Source organism: Homo sapiens, chromosome 5 (genome assembly GCF_000001405.40).
Source record: "Homo sapiens chromosome 5, GRCh38.p14 Primary Assembly".
Classification (NCBI taxonomy): Eukaryota; Metazoa; Chordata; class Mammalia; order Primates; family Hominidae; genus Homo; species Homo sapiens.
The window spans coordinates 75684319-75698400 of record NC_000005.10 but is presented as its reverse complement, the minus strand read 5'-3'; the positions used below and the strand labels follow the sequence as shown (position 1 = coordinate 75698400).

At 36.2% G+C, this 14082-nt stretch overlaps 1 protein-coding gene across 10 annotated transcripts in view, besides 1 other annotated feature; it reads left to right on the top strand.

Moving 5' to 3' along the window:
• Positions 1–14082, top strand: part of POC5 (POC5 centriolar protein) — a 43314-nt gene that overhangs the window by 19037 nt on the left and 10195 nt on the right. For 6 of the 10 annotated variants that reach the window (XM_011543160.2, XM_011543158.3, NM_001099271.2 and 3 more), the window contains 5 exons: positions 3570–3746; positions 5901–6005; positions 7839–8018; positions 9236–9389; positions 12917–13194. In XM_011543160.2, the coding sequence (XP_011541462.1) occupies positions 3570–3746; positions 5901–6005; positions 7839–8018; positions 9236–9389; positions 12917–13194 (894 nt within the window). Of the gene's footprint in view, positions 1–3569; positions 3747–5900; positions 6006–7838; positions 8019–9235; positions 9390–11072; positions 11454–12916; positions 13195–14082 lie in introns of those variants that run through there. The other 4 variants (XM_047416725.1, XM_005248436.2, XM_024454363.2 and 1 more) reach the window with 2 other exon arrangements.
• Positions 1817–2355: an enhancer, noted in NCBI's record as "NANOG-H3K27ac-H3K4me1 hESC enhancer chr5:74991871-74992409 (GRCh37/hg19 assembly coordinates)". NCBI's record gives its function as "activates a minimal SCP1, AML or CMV promoter by ChIP-STARR-seq in naive and primed H9 embryonic stem cells {active_cell/tissue: H9 hESC(naive and primed)}" and the evidence as "EXISTENCE:reporter gene assay evidence [ECO:0000049][PMID:30033119]".

Sequence of the window (14082 nt, the reverse complement as noted above, 5' to 3'; positions counted from 1 at the left end):
TGAGTTCTATTTTGATTGCATGTGGTCTGAGAGATAGTTTGTTATAATTTCTGTTCTTTTACATTTGCTGAGGAGAGCTTTACTTCCAAGTATGTGGTCAATTTTGGAATAGGTGTGGTGTGGTGCTGAAAAAAATGTATATTCTGTTGATTTGGGGTGGAGAGTTCTGTAGATATCTATTAGGTCTGCTTGGTGCAGAGCTGAGTTCAATTCCTGGGTATCCTTGTTGACTTTCTGTCTCGTTGATCTGTCTAATGTTGACAGTGGGGTGTTAAAGTCTCCCATTATTAATATGTGGGAGTCTAAGTCTCTTTGTAGGTCACTCAGGACTTGCTTTATGAATCTGGGTGCTCTTGTATTGGGTGCATATATATTTAGGATAGTTAGCTCTTCTTGTTGAATTGATCCCTTTACCATTATGTAATGGCCTTCTTTGTCTCTTTTGATCTTTGTTGGTTTAAAGTCTGTTTTATCAGAGACTAGGATTGCAACCCCTGCCTTTTTTTGTTTTCCATTGGCTTGGTAGATCTTCCTCCATCCTTTTATTTTGAGCCTATGTGTGTCTCTGCCCGTGAGATGGGTTTCCTGAATACAGCACACTGATGGATCTTGACTCTTTATCCAATTTGCCAGTCTGTGTCTTTTAATTGGAGCATTTAGCCCATTTACATTTAAAGTTAATATTGTTATGTGTGAATTTGATCCTGACAGGATCAATGACATTATGATGTTAGCTGATTATTTTGCTCGTTAGTTGATGCAGTTTCTTCCTAGTCTCGATGGTCTTTACATTTTGGCATGTTTTTGCAGTGGGTGTTACCGGTTGTTCCTTTCCATGTTTAGCACTTCCTTCAGGAGCTCTTTTAGGGCAGGCCTGGTGGTGACAAAATCTCTCAGCTTTGCTTGTCTGTAAAGTATTTTATTTCTCCTTCACTTATGAAGCTTAGTTTGGCTGGATATGAAATTCTGGGTTGAAAATTCTTTTCTTTAAGAATGTTGAATATTGGCCCCCACTCTCTTCTGGCTTGTAGAGTTTCTGCTGAGAGATCAGCTGTTAGTCTGATGGGCTTCCCTTTGAGGGTAACCCGACCTTTCTCTCTGGCTGCCCTTAACATTTTTTCCTTCATTTCAACTTTGGCGAATCTGACAATTATGTGTCTTGGTGTTGCTCTTCTCGAGGAGTATCTTTGTGGCGTTCTCTGTATTTCCTGAATCTGAGCGTTGGCCTGCCTTGCTAGATTAGGGAAGTTCTCCTGGATTAATATCCTGCAGAGTGTTTTCCAACTTGGTTCCATTCTCCCCATCACTTTCAGGTACACCAATGAGACGTAGATTTGGTCTTTTCACGTAGTCCCATATTTCTTGGAGGCTTTGCTCGTTTCTTTTTATTCTTTTTTCTCTAAACTTCCCTTCTTGCTTCATTTCATTCATTTCATCTTCCATTGCTGATACCCTTTCTTCCAGTTGATCGCATCAGCTCCTGAGGCTTCTGCATTCTTCACGTAGTTCTCGAGCCTTGGTTTTCAGCTCCATCAGCTCCTTTAAGCACTTCTCTGTATTGGTTATTCTAGTTATACATTCTTCTAAATTTTTTTCAAAGTTTTCAACTTCTTTGCCTTTGGTTTGAATGTCCTCCCGTAGCTCGGAGTAATTTGATCGTCTGAAGCCTTCTCAGCTCGTCAAAGTCATTCTCCATCCAGCTTTGTTCCGTTGCTGGTGAGGAACTGCGATCCTTTGGAGGAGGAGAGTCGCTCTGCTTTTTAGAGTTTCCAGTTTTTCTGCTCTGTTTTTTCCCCATCTTTGTGGTTTTATCTACTTTTGGTCTTTGATGATGGTGATGTACAGATGGGTTTTTGGTGTGGATGTCCTTTCTGTTTGTTAGTTTTCCTTCTAACAGACAGGACCCTCAGCTGCAGGTCTGTTGGAGTACCCGGCCGTGTGAGGTGTCAGTCTGCCTCTGCTGGGGGGTGCCTCCCAGTTAGGCTGCTCGGAGGTCAGGGGTCAGGGACCCACTTGAGGCAGGCTGCCCGTTCTCAGATCTCCAGCTGCGTGCTGGGAGAACCACTGCTCTCTTCAAAGCTGTCAGACAGGGACATTTAAGTCTGCAGAGGTTACTGCTGTCTTTTTGTTTGTCTGTGCCCTGCCCCCAGAGGTGGAGCCTACAGAGGCAGGCAGGTCTCCTTCAGCTGTGGTGGGCTCCACCCAGTTCGAGCTTCCGGGCTGCTTTGTTTACCTAAGCAAGCCTGGGCAATGGCGGGTGCCCCTCCCCCAGCCTCGCTGCCGCCTTGCAGTTTGATCTCAGACTACTGTGCTAGTAATCAGTGAGACTTCGTGGGCGTAGGACCCTCTGAGCCAGGTGAGGGATATAATCTTCTGTTGCGCCGTTTTTTAAGCCCCTCGGAAAAGCGCAGTATTCGGGTGGGAGTGACCCGATTTTCCAGGTGCCATCTGTCACCCCTTTCTTTGACTAGGAAAGGGTACTCCCTGACCCCTTGCACTTCCTGAGTAAGGCAATGCCTCGCCCTGCTTCACCTCGCGCACGGTGCATGCACCCACTGTCCTGCGCCCACTGTCTGGCACTCCCTAGTGAGATGAACCCGGTACCTCAGATGGAAATGCAGAAATCACCCGTCTTCTGCATTGCTCACGCTGGGAGCTGTAGACTGGAGCTGTTCCTATTCGGCCATCTTGGCTCCTCCCCCACTTTTTTTTGTTTGTTTTTTTGTTTTTTGTTTTTTTTGCTATTATTAAAAAACTGGAGAAAATGACAGTTTTTCTGAAACATATAATTTGAGAAAACTAAGTTGCATATTCACATATATAGAGAAATTATGGCCCATGTGAGTTCTGTGGCATTTATATTTTTCCCTCATTTGGAACCTTAAATTCTAGAAATAATTCTTCAGCATGGTTTTACCATTTTCCCCCCTTGGAACAGGTTTCATACTTAGAATAGTGTAAGTCAATTGGAGTGTTATACCACCAACCATTTAAATTGTGTTTAGTTAATATGTTGTCCAGTTTTTTTTTAATAACAAATTATTATTTGGTCTTTTTATTTGTGCCAGTCAGTAGGGTGACAGAACATAGCAGTCCATTATAACAGATAATAATCTGTGATAAATGGCTTGGGAAAACAAGTATCAACTCTCATGGTTTCTTTCCACTATCACCCATTTCTAAATAACTTCCCAGTCAGTATGGCTTAGCCTATGCCATAGTTATGTGTTTCCCTTTATTCCTGATCCATCTTCATATGGACATTTAATCCTTGAATAAACAAAGGAACATAGTGAATGAGACCTGAAATTTTTTTAAGTGACAACAAGATTTCATACAAAATTAGTTAAAATAGGAAAAAATTAGCTTCCCTAGTATGATGAATGTGAACTGCACAGACCTGTGACTGTTGAACTTACATATGTTTTTCATTAATGTGTTCCAATTGTTTTAATGACTTTTGTGTTGATGCTTGTTCTGATTTTTTTAATGTTTCTTTATTTCAGTGTAGTTTTAAGAAGTGATATTAACGAACAAACTACTTAATTGTCACTATATTAATTTTTCAGACAAACATCATATCTGAACTAAGTAAATGGAGACTTAATTTTATTGACTGGCACCGAATGGAAATGAGAAAAGAGAAAGAAAAACATGCAGCACATTTAAAACAACTGTGTAATCAGATCAATGAATTGAAGGAGCTGCAAAAAACCTTTGAAATCTCCATTGGGAGAAAAGATGAGGTCTTCTTTTTTATATTTCTTTTTAACTGAGATTCAGTAAATGTCTTGCTAGATAATAAATTCTAAGAAATGATTATTTACCTCATACAAGATACAGGTTCTATCAGAAACTGACAGAAAAATTCATAGCCATTGGATTTATTCTTCCTATTAAACATATCAGCATAATGTCATTTTACCCTCACCATTGACTTCTGTGTTCTTGATGTTTTAAGAGTGTTTGCTTTGTAAACTACATTAAAACATCACCTTGTAACCCATAAATGTATAAAACTATTATGATTTGTCAATTTAAAAAAAATTTTTTTTTAAAAAGAGTATGTGCTAAATGTAAGTACACTAGTTTTTTTCTTTCTAATCCTTTCTTCCTAACCTTAAGCGAACGTGAAGGAACGAGCATTATCTACATTTTAAACCATCCTTTTAGGGGTCATTTTAAGGATCTCACATTCTTTTTTTAATCTCTCTCTTTTTGAAACAGGGTCTTGCTATGTTGCCCAGAGTGGAGAGCAGTGGCTATTCATAGGCATAATCATAGCTCACTACAATCTCAAACTCCGGGGCTCAAGTGAACCTCCTGCCTCAGCCCCTGCCAGGGACTGCAAGTGCATACCACCATGCTTGGGTTTAAGCATCTCAAATTCTATCTGTGATGGATGTGTTTTCATTAATGAAGGCTTTCTTCATTTTATTGATAAACACAGAAAACATCTTTTATTTCACTTTCCTTTAGCTTCTTAAGAATTCGAGGGTAAGATTCAAGTCTGTGCTAATTTTTTGCCTCCTGACACAGTACCTGGAGCAAAGCAGATGGGCAACAAATCTGTGCCCGGCTATAAATGGATGTCCGGAGGGGCATCCACTTATGGATAGGAGAGTGGTGTTGTTCAGAAGAGGAGGACTTGGGCAGACACCTCAGCTGCTTGTCTGCAGAAGTAGCACTTAAGTGTTTTCATGAATTAAAGATTATAATTTTTTTAAACATACCTTGATTTCGTATAAAATTGAACATTTTATAGAATTTTTTTTGAAACAATGGATTTTAATGTCAGTCATTTTCTTTGTTATACTCAAAATTCTGTCCCATGGTTTTTAAGTTTAATTTTTTTATTTTGAAGTATCACAAAGAATATAGATATCATATGTTCAGTTTATGAGAATGAGTAAAGTGGATAGACAGGTACTACGATTCAGCTTAACACATAGAATATTTCCAGTAGCTTAGAATGTATGCCCTTTTCCTCTCTGGAAATTATTTAAAGAGCAGTTATAAATATCTCTTGGTAAATGTGCCCAATTTACAAAATCTCTTTCTAATGTGACTATTTTTAGAAATTTATTTCAGTTATTCAGTTCTTTTATAAGAGAGAATATTATCTTAGGATTTTAAAGCCTTCTGAATTTTTTTTTAAGAACAAGAGTAATAATATCACTGAAGAAGTACATCAACATATAACATTAATAACATTAGTTATATATAATGTTATTAATATGTTATATGTATAACATTAATTATATATATTTACTTATATATATAACATTTTATGTATGACATATGTTATATATGTTATTAATAGTTATATGTATAACATGTTATTAATAGGTATATATAACATATATAATATATAGTTATATATATAACTATAACATATTAATAGTTACATATATAACTATTATTTGCTTTTATAGGTTTGTTTAATCCAGAAAATCATTGGACAGTCGTTGAGGAACTTCTATATCCAAGATAGTAGTAGGGACCAGAAAGATATTTAAATATCTAAATATTCTGGCCCCTGCCCTCAAATCTAGTGAATAAAGACATGGTGTATATAGGAGAACTTTCAAATGTATAATTGTTTTACCTGAATTGAATGTCAGTAGCTAATTTGCATATACATAAACTTTTTATTGGTGATTACCATATACACATAATGAAGACTTCCTTCTTCTTTTGTTCCCTTTCATTAGTTGATATCTAGTATATTCATGTGAGAAAGTTTTACCATCTTTTTAAAGATAATAATGAGGTTAACTGAATGAATATAGTAGTGATCCATACCTATCCTCTCTAGCATTTTTTGATATATGAGAAAATCACTTTACCAATTGCTGTTATTTTAATATCACAATAATTGGGTTAATTGCTGTTTACAGGTGATTTCTAGCTTGTCTCATGCCATAGGCAAGCAAAAGGAAAAGATAGAGTTGATGAGAACATTCTTCCACTGGCGAATCGGCCATGTCAGAGCCAGACAGGATGTAAGTGTCAAAGCAGAAGACAGCTGATGGATGTTAGACTTCTGAATTCAGAAGTGCTCAGGATCACTTATTATAGTTGTTTTCTAATAAGTCAAAATGAATTTGTGATTTAATGTTCCTCTTATTTCAAAGGAATTTGATTTTGATGTAGTTTGGAAAAAATACAGTTTAGATCTTATTGACATATAATATATATATATTACAATAGATACATCATTTCCTGCTTCATAGTAGGTTAATAAGGATTGTTCCTAAATTGTAAAGGCCCTGGTAATAGAACCCCCTCAGATGTGGTTATTGGAGAAAGAAGTTATGTTTAACATATCAAATGCTTCCTATATTGTTTCTACTTTTAAAATGCCTGAATACAACTTATTCATAAAGAGGCTTTACTATATTTATACATTAAATCACAGTATAAATGTTTGTTATGTAGACTTGCCTTAGAGTGAGAGTCAGAGAAAGCCATACCTGTACAGCTTTTTAAAAGTTATCCTTAGCTTGTAGTATATCATTTAAACTTGAACATCTTTTATTTTAAGTAAGAGCTGAGTTGGTATATCAGTAAATAGTGAACTGAAAGAGAATACTAAATTGTTGTATCAAAAGTGGAAAAGTATGAGTATATCCCACAACAAGACATAGTTTAGAGACACATGAATATAGGAGATGAATATATATATATATGCTTTCCATGTATATTCATGTGAGCTATGGAATAATCTCTGTGTATTTAGTTTCCAAGAGATTAGTATTTAAGGAAAAAGCTAGTACAGGTTGAGTATCCCTTATCCAAAATGTTTGGCACCAGGAGAATTTTGGATTTTAGATTATGTTTCATATCACACCTTATGCACAAAATTCATTTATGTTTCATATTTCACCTTATACATATAGCCTAAGGTAATTGTATACAATATTTTTAATAATTTTATGCATGAAACAAAGTTTGTGTTAAGTACTTCTGTGTGGAATTTTTCACTTGTGGTGTCATGCTGACACTCAAAAAGTTTCAGATTTTTGGATTAGAGATGCTCAACCTACTTTATCCTGGAATAAGATTTCTCCTTTAAGAATACTTTCTGGATTTTTCATTTTTTTAATTAATCCCAGTAGATTAAATCCACATTAAGTAAGCTGGTTAAAATGAATATTTATACTCTACTTTGAAACTTGTCAAGTGAAATAATGAGAATACATATTTATTTTTAAATGTTAGCCAGAATAGTTGAGGCTACTGTCACTTTTGGATAGTTTTTCAAACTGAAGAAATTGAGAATTGGAACTACTTCTTCAAAAGAATTTAAATTCATTGATAAAAGAAAAATAGCATAAGTTTTTATTTGGATTGGCACCATATATGATGGCAGGGTTTATAAATTAAATCTTGCTTGTGGTGGCCATCAAACTGAAGAGAAAGCAGTGTCATCTGAAGCCACAGCCACCACCATTTCCTGCCTTCTAGCCACTCTGTTATTCTCCTGGTCCTGCTAAATTCATAACTAAGATGGCAAGTGGTGATTTGCTCATTTTCTTTCATTTGGTTGTATTCTTTTTCTCTAACTTGATTAGTTGCATAAAGCAATGATGTAATGGATAAGAGCTCAGTCTCTGGAGTCAGGCAAGTCTGGCTTTACTCATCTACTTATGTGAACTACGTAGCTTGCTTAACCTCTCTAAGCCTGTTCTCCTATATGCAAGATGAGAATAATATGATTACATAGAATTAAATAATGTGTATATGTACACTTACCACCATGTTATGTTTATTATTACTACCAATATATTTATCAATCAACTGTGTTTTTGAAGTTATATTTTACTTTTATTTAGGTTTATGAAGGTAAACTAGCTGACCAGTACTACCAGAGAACTTTACTGAAGAAAGTCTGGAAAGTCTGGCGTTCCGTAGTGCAAAAGCAGTGGAAAGATGTGGTAGAAAGAGCTTGTCAAGCAAGAGCTGAAGAAGTTTGTATCCAGATTTCCAATGATTATGAAGCCAAAGTTGCTATGGTAAGCATCTTTTTCTGGTTTTCACTTTCTTCTAATACAATAAAAAGATAGATAGACTCACTATTAATTAATAGACTTCTTCTTTTGGTCTTTAATCAAGAATGCAGACAAAAAAATGAAAACGTTTATTCTTGTGTTAATTTAATGTTTATTGTATATTCTTACATGGTTGATATAAGGAGTTGTATAGAAATTGAAATTATTAGTTGGGCGCGGTGCCTCACTCCTGTAGACCCAGCACTTTGGGAGGCCGAGGCGGGCAGATCACCTGAGTCAGGAGTTTGAGACCAGCCTGGTCAACATGGTGAAACCCCGTCTCTACTAAAAAAATTAGCTGGGTATGGTGGCACATGCCTATAATACCCGCTACTCGGGAGGCTGAGGCAGGATAATCTTTTGAACCTGGGAGGCAGAAGTTGCAGTGAGCTATATCACACTGTTGCACTCCAACCTAGGCAACAAGAGCAGAAATCCATCTCAAAAAAGAAAAAAAGAAATTGAAATTATTTTTTCCCATTGACTTTTAATAATAAAATTAACATTGTTTTCATGGGAAAACATTTGGAATTGAAATGAAATAAAATCCATTCTAAAGAATGCAATAGGCCTCTTGAAGTTAAATATTAAAATGAAAAAATAACTCATTACAGCATTAAATTGTTAAGATTAAAAATAAATCCATAATACAAATAATTTTCTGCAGTTCACTACGACATGCAAAAAATGCAGTCCCCTGAGGTTTGGCCTATGGGAAAGTGTGTTGTACCTAGGGTCACTCTGCACTTCAAATACTGAAGGTAACATTTACATTATAAAAATTCTGTTAATATTGCAGGCATGTAGTTTATTTTATTTTTTTCTGAAAGGGCTGTCTGTGGCTCTTAATGTATTTTGTTTAACATCCTACATAAAAGTTTTACAGTAAAAAATGGTGTATCTTTTTGTGAAATGAAAATACATCAGCAATATTCAATGGGACTGGATAAAATTCCCCTTGTTTGAACCTTGATTTTAAGGTTAGGAATGAAAGCATTTTGTTGATGGAGATAATAGAGGTAAGAGGTACCTTTTAAAATAAATTGCACATAGCAGAAGAGGTAAGTGACAAACTTTTTAATATTTCACATGAGAATAATCTCAAAGTATATATCTATTTTTTTGACAGTATTCTTCTTTGTATCTCAAATTGTTTTGCTTTTTAAACATTCTTATTTTAGTTATCTGGAGCTTTGGAAAATGCAAAAGCTGAGATTCAAAGAATGCAACATGAAAAAGAGCACTTTGAAGATTCCATGAAAAAAGCTTTCATGAGGGGTGTATGTGCATTAAATCTTGAAGCCATGACTATATTTCAAAACAGAAATGATGCAGGTTAGTATTTCATTAAAGTTTCTCTGCCTAATTTCAAAAAAAGATTTGAGGAGATTTTGGTGATTGGTATGGTCTACAGTACAAATAATCTGCAGTAGGTATGTTTCATCCAGGTGCTGCTATTCTTAATTCTATGGTGTCATATCCAGACTTAAATCTGCCATGAAAATGAGCTCAGTCATGGTTACTTATGGTATCTTAGATCTGATCAAGTACACTGTCACTCCTAAGTATTTAAGCTAAATGTTGAAAATAATATTTTAATGTATAGCATTATTTTAAATCTCTTTTAACTAAGAATTTTAATGCCTTTTTAAGTACAAAACTTCTAATTTTGTCTTTTCTTAAGTAGCCAAATATTTTGGACTATTTTGGTAAGTATTTGTTATCTAGTCATGGTTTCTCATTTTAGAAATTCCTAATCTTCCTGTTTATGAAAGGCCTCAACTAAGCTCATTGCAGCAAACATAAATATAGACCTATCTATAGAAGTAATTTTATTTTTTTTAAAAATCCACATATTGTCTGACATAAGAGTGGTTTGTGTAGTAGTTTTGTCAGCATGGCGTAGAAAAGCCCATAACTAGAATCCTTTGCCACCAATTTACCCAGGGGCCTGTTTTCCTCATTCGGCCTTAGATTTCTTCTCTGAGCGAAGGAGATAATATAAACCTTCCTTACCTGCTTCCTAGGGGCTTCTTGTGGGATGCAGTAAAACATATCTGAAAACACTTTAAAAGACAAAATGCACTTTAACGTGTAAGATGATAGTCATGATGTAATTATTAATAGTTTTAATTCAAGTCAACGTCTCAAGATTTTGTAAATGATTAACATGATTTCAATCCAATGAATAACTTCTCTGTGCTTGTGATGCCCTTATTTTAAAACATCAACAAACATTTATTATTTAAAGCATGCATATTGTGGATAGGAGTAAGTTTAGGCAAATTGCTTTCTATCTGAAGTGGTTGTGGTTTGTGGGCCATATTTAATTTAGAAACTGAGAATCATGGAATCTCAAGGCTGAATAGTTTATTTTGGTAATACCTAGGTGAGTACTTGATTTTTCCAATAAATGGTCTTTTATTTGAGTATCAGGGTTGAAAACAAACTCACCACCTTCAATGATAGAATAGTCTGTTTCAGTTCTAAGTATCAGCAAGTTGTGTGTCACAAATTGAGAAATTTAATTGTTTACTTGGGAGAAATATGAGTTTCACAAGTAAAGTGACAAATTCCTATTAGAACTTCTTACATTAAATTACAAGAAACCTGTTTCTTATAACCTACTTAAAAAGATTTTGAATTGACTTAGGAGTATTTCCCACCTTAATACATTTACCATCTTAAAATGTAAATTGAAATGCAACTGTGTCTCCTAAAGGCCAATATCCATAAGAGGATTTGAAGAAAATGTCTTCTGCTAATTACACAACATGATTTCTTTTGCTCCTGTTACTTTTGAAACAATCGATGAGAAAGATGACAAGAATGGTAAAGCATGCATTAGCAATAATGTTGGTAGAGCTACCAAAGGCAAAAAAGTTCAGTATAATTCAGTGGATCTGCTTTGTGATATTTAGGTTTTATGACATTTTAATGACACCTATTTTTTTTAGTTCTCATAAGAAAAAAAAATTACTTTTGGCCCCCTTCTATTAAAACAACTGTTTTTTATAGGCCAGGCGCGGTCGCTCACACCTGTAATCCCAGCACTTTGGGAGGCCGAGGTGAGTGGATCACGAGGTCAGGAGATCGAGACGATCCTGGCTAACATGGTGAAATCCCGTCTCTACTAAAAATACAAAAAATTAGCCGGGCGTGGTGGCAGGCACCTGTAGTCCCAGCTACTCAGGAGGCTGAGGCAGAAGAATGGCGTGAACCCAGGAGGCAGAGGTTGCAGTGAGCTGAGATCATGCCACTGCACTTCAGCCTGGGCGACAGAGCGAGACTATCTCACAAAAAAAAAAATTGTTTTTTATAATGCAGTTTTTAATAATGTAAAGTTCCTAATGCATCTGTCTTGTTAGAGCAAAATAAATATTTGGTTTTTTATTTGTACCGATTCTTTGCTGTCTGTAATTTGCAGTACCTCTCATGTTGTGCAGTATCTTAAATCTTACAAATTAGAGGTTTTTATGAAGAAGTTAGAACATGACAAAAAGTCCTTAAAATTATATCTGCCAATTTTACTGTGCCAATTAGGCACAGTAAAAAAAAATACTTGACAAGTGAAAAATTTATTCCAGCTAAAATGAGATTAATTATTAAACTTAAGAGTTATCTGATATCAGCCTATATTAGCAAGAGTTGATCACCTGCCTCTCTTCCCTGACCTTCATACTGTTTCTACATCTCCTAATGTCTGCCACCATCTAAAGATAGACACTCAGAATCTCTACCAAAACAAGTTAAAACTCAGTGTGTGTTTTGTTTTCAAATTAAAAGTATTTTATATTGAATTAGTCCCTTTCATCAGAGGAGTTCAAAGGATCTAGGTAGGCACTGTAATCATTGTTAAACTTCTTAAATAAGCTAACTAACTAATACTCTGCAAATTTTCTATACAGATAGTCTAAGGAAAGGACTTATGCAGAGGCCCAAATTTCTGGAGGGAAAGAGAACTACATAGAAAACCATTTAAACATACAACTTACATAATGCCCTCTGTTCAGATGTTCTGAAACAGCTCATTGACTGAATTTCTAAACCCTCACCACACTGTTTGATACCACACAGATACAGTCTTAAGCAGAAACTAACCAAATTATAATACTGGAGCGAAAACATCTAAAATTGGAAGAAACCCTTTGTACTAGCCCTGGAATTTGACATTATTGGCTCCTTAGATCAAGATTAAGGTTCAGTTTTGAGGGAAGGTTAGTGATTGGGGTGTCACTACAAATCAGTTAGGTGCACAAATATGCTCTTATGATTTATATAATTTATCTGCAAGAACCCATTTCTTTTACAGTGTAAAAAGTGAAGATTTTAGTTTTATTGATTTATTTTTGTTTTCTGACGACTCAAGAACAAAAATAAATTGTTAGGATAGGCGCAATACATGAAAATGAGGGAGTATAGTGATATCAGAAAGTGGTTCTAAAGATTGATTGCAGGTCATTTTGGCCATCTATCAGGATATTTGTATGAACTAATACAAAGGAACCTAGATCTCCAGGCTCACTGTGATCATATTTTTTGTGACAGTTGTGATGGCAATATACTCTACTTAGCTAAGGTCCCAGCTGAGTACATAATTTATTTTCATCTTTTATTTAAGAACAAATGATCCATTAGCTTTCACATGTGGAAGGAAGTAGTCTGAAGTTTTTAGTGGTTAATGCTGACATTAACCAGTTAATACTGACAAACTGTATTAACTGAACATTGTATCTAATATACTGTAAACATCTAAATTTTTGTTAGGACCAAACTTTAGCCAGTATGTGTTTTCATTGTTTGGAAGATAATAGTAGTCCTAACCTGGAAGAATTTGAATGGAATTAATTTGTGATTTATAGGGATAGACTCCACAAATAATAAAAAGGAAGAGTATGGTCCTGGTGTTCAAGGAAAAGAACATTCTGCTCATTTGGATCCTTCAGCTCCTCCGATGCCCTTACCAGTTACATCACCACTGCTGCCATCCCCACCAGCCGCCGTCGGAGGAGCCAGCGCGACTGCCGTTCCCTCAGCTGCTTCGATGACTTCTACCAGGGCTGCTTCCGCATCTTCTGTTCACGTTCCTGTTTCTGCTCTTGGTGCAGGATCTGCAGCTACTGCTGCATCAGAAGAAATGGTTAGTACAGTTTATACAGGTCCCACCTTATGAAAAGGGCGGCCAGGCCCAGTGGCTCACACCTGTAATCCCAGCACTTTGGGAGGCCGAGGCAGGTGGATCACGAGGTCAGGAGATCGAGACCATCCTGGCTAACACGGTGAAACCCCGTCTCTACTAAAAATACGAAAAATTAGCCGGGTGTGGTGGCAGCCGCCTGTAGTCCCAGCTACTCAGGAGGCCAAGGCAGGAGAATGGCGTGAACCCTGTAGACAGAGCTTGCAGTGAGCCGAGATCGCGCCACTGCACTCCAGCCTGGGCAACAGAGCGAGACTCCATCTCAAAAAAAAAAAAAAAGCTTGTTTGTAAATTTAATATTTTGAACTCATAAAATATTTTCCTATGGAGAAAAAAAAAATCTGTGGTATTTAGGCAAAGTCACTGAAAATATTTAATACACAAAGTGACTAGAGCATTAAATTGTAATGAAAATACCTGAAAGTGCTGTCATAGTAGTGATAATTAAGACAAAGAACTTTTTTATATTTTTCAAAAATTATGTAGGAGCCGGGCGCGGTGGCTCACGCCTGTAATCCCAGCACTCTGGGAGGCCGAGGTGGGCGGATCACCTGAGGTCAGAAGTTCAAGACCAGCCTGGCCATGGTGAAACCCCGCCTCTACTAAAAATACAAAAAATTAGCCGAGCGTGGTGGTGTGTGCCTGTAATCCCATCTACTCGGGAGGCTGAGGCAGGAGAATTGCTTGAACCCCGGAGGCGAAGTTGCAGTGAGCCAAGATGATGCCATTGCACTCCAGCCTGGGCAACAAGAGTGAAACTCCGTCGCAAAAAAAAAAAAAAAAAAATTATGTAGGAAAAGTAGATTTAATTTGAGAAAGAGTGAAGGACAG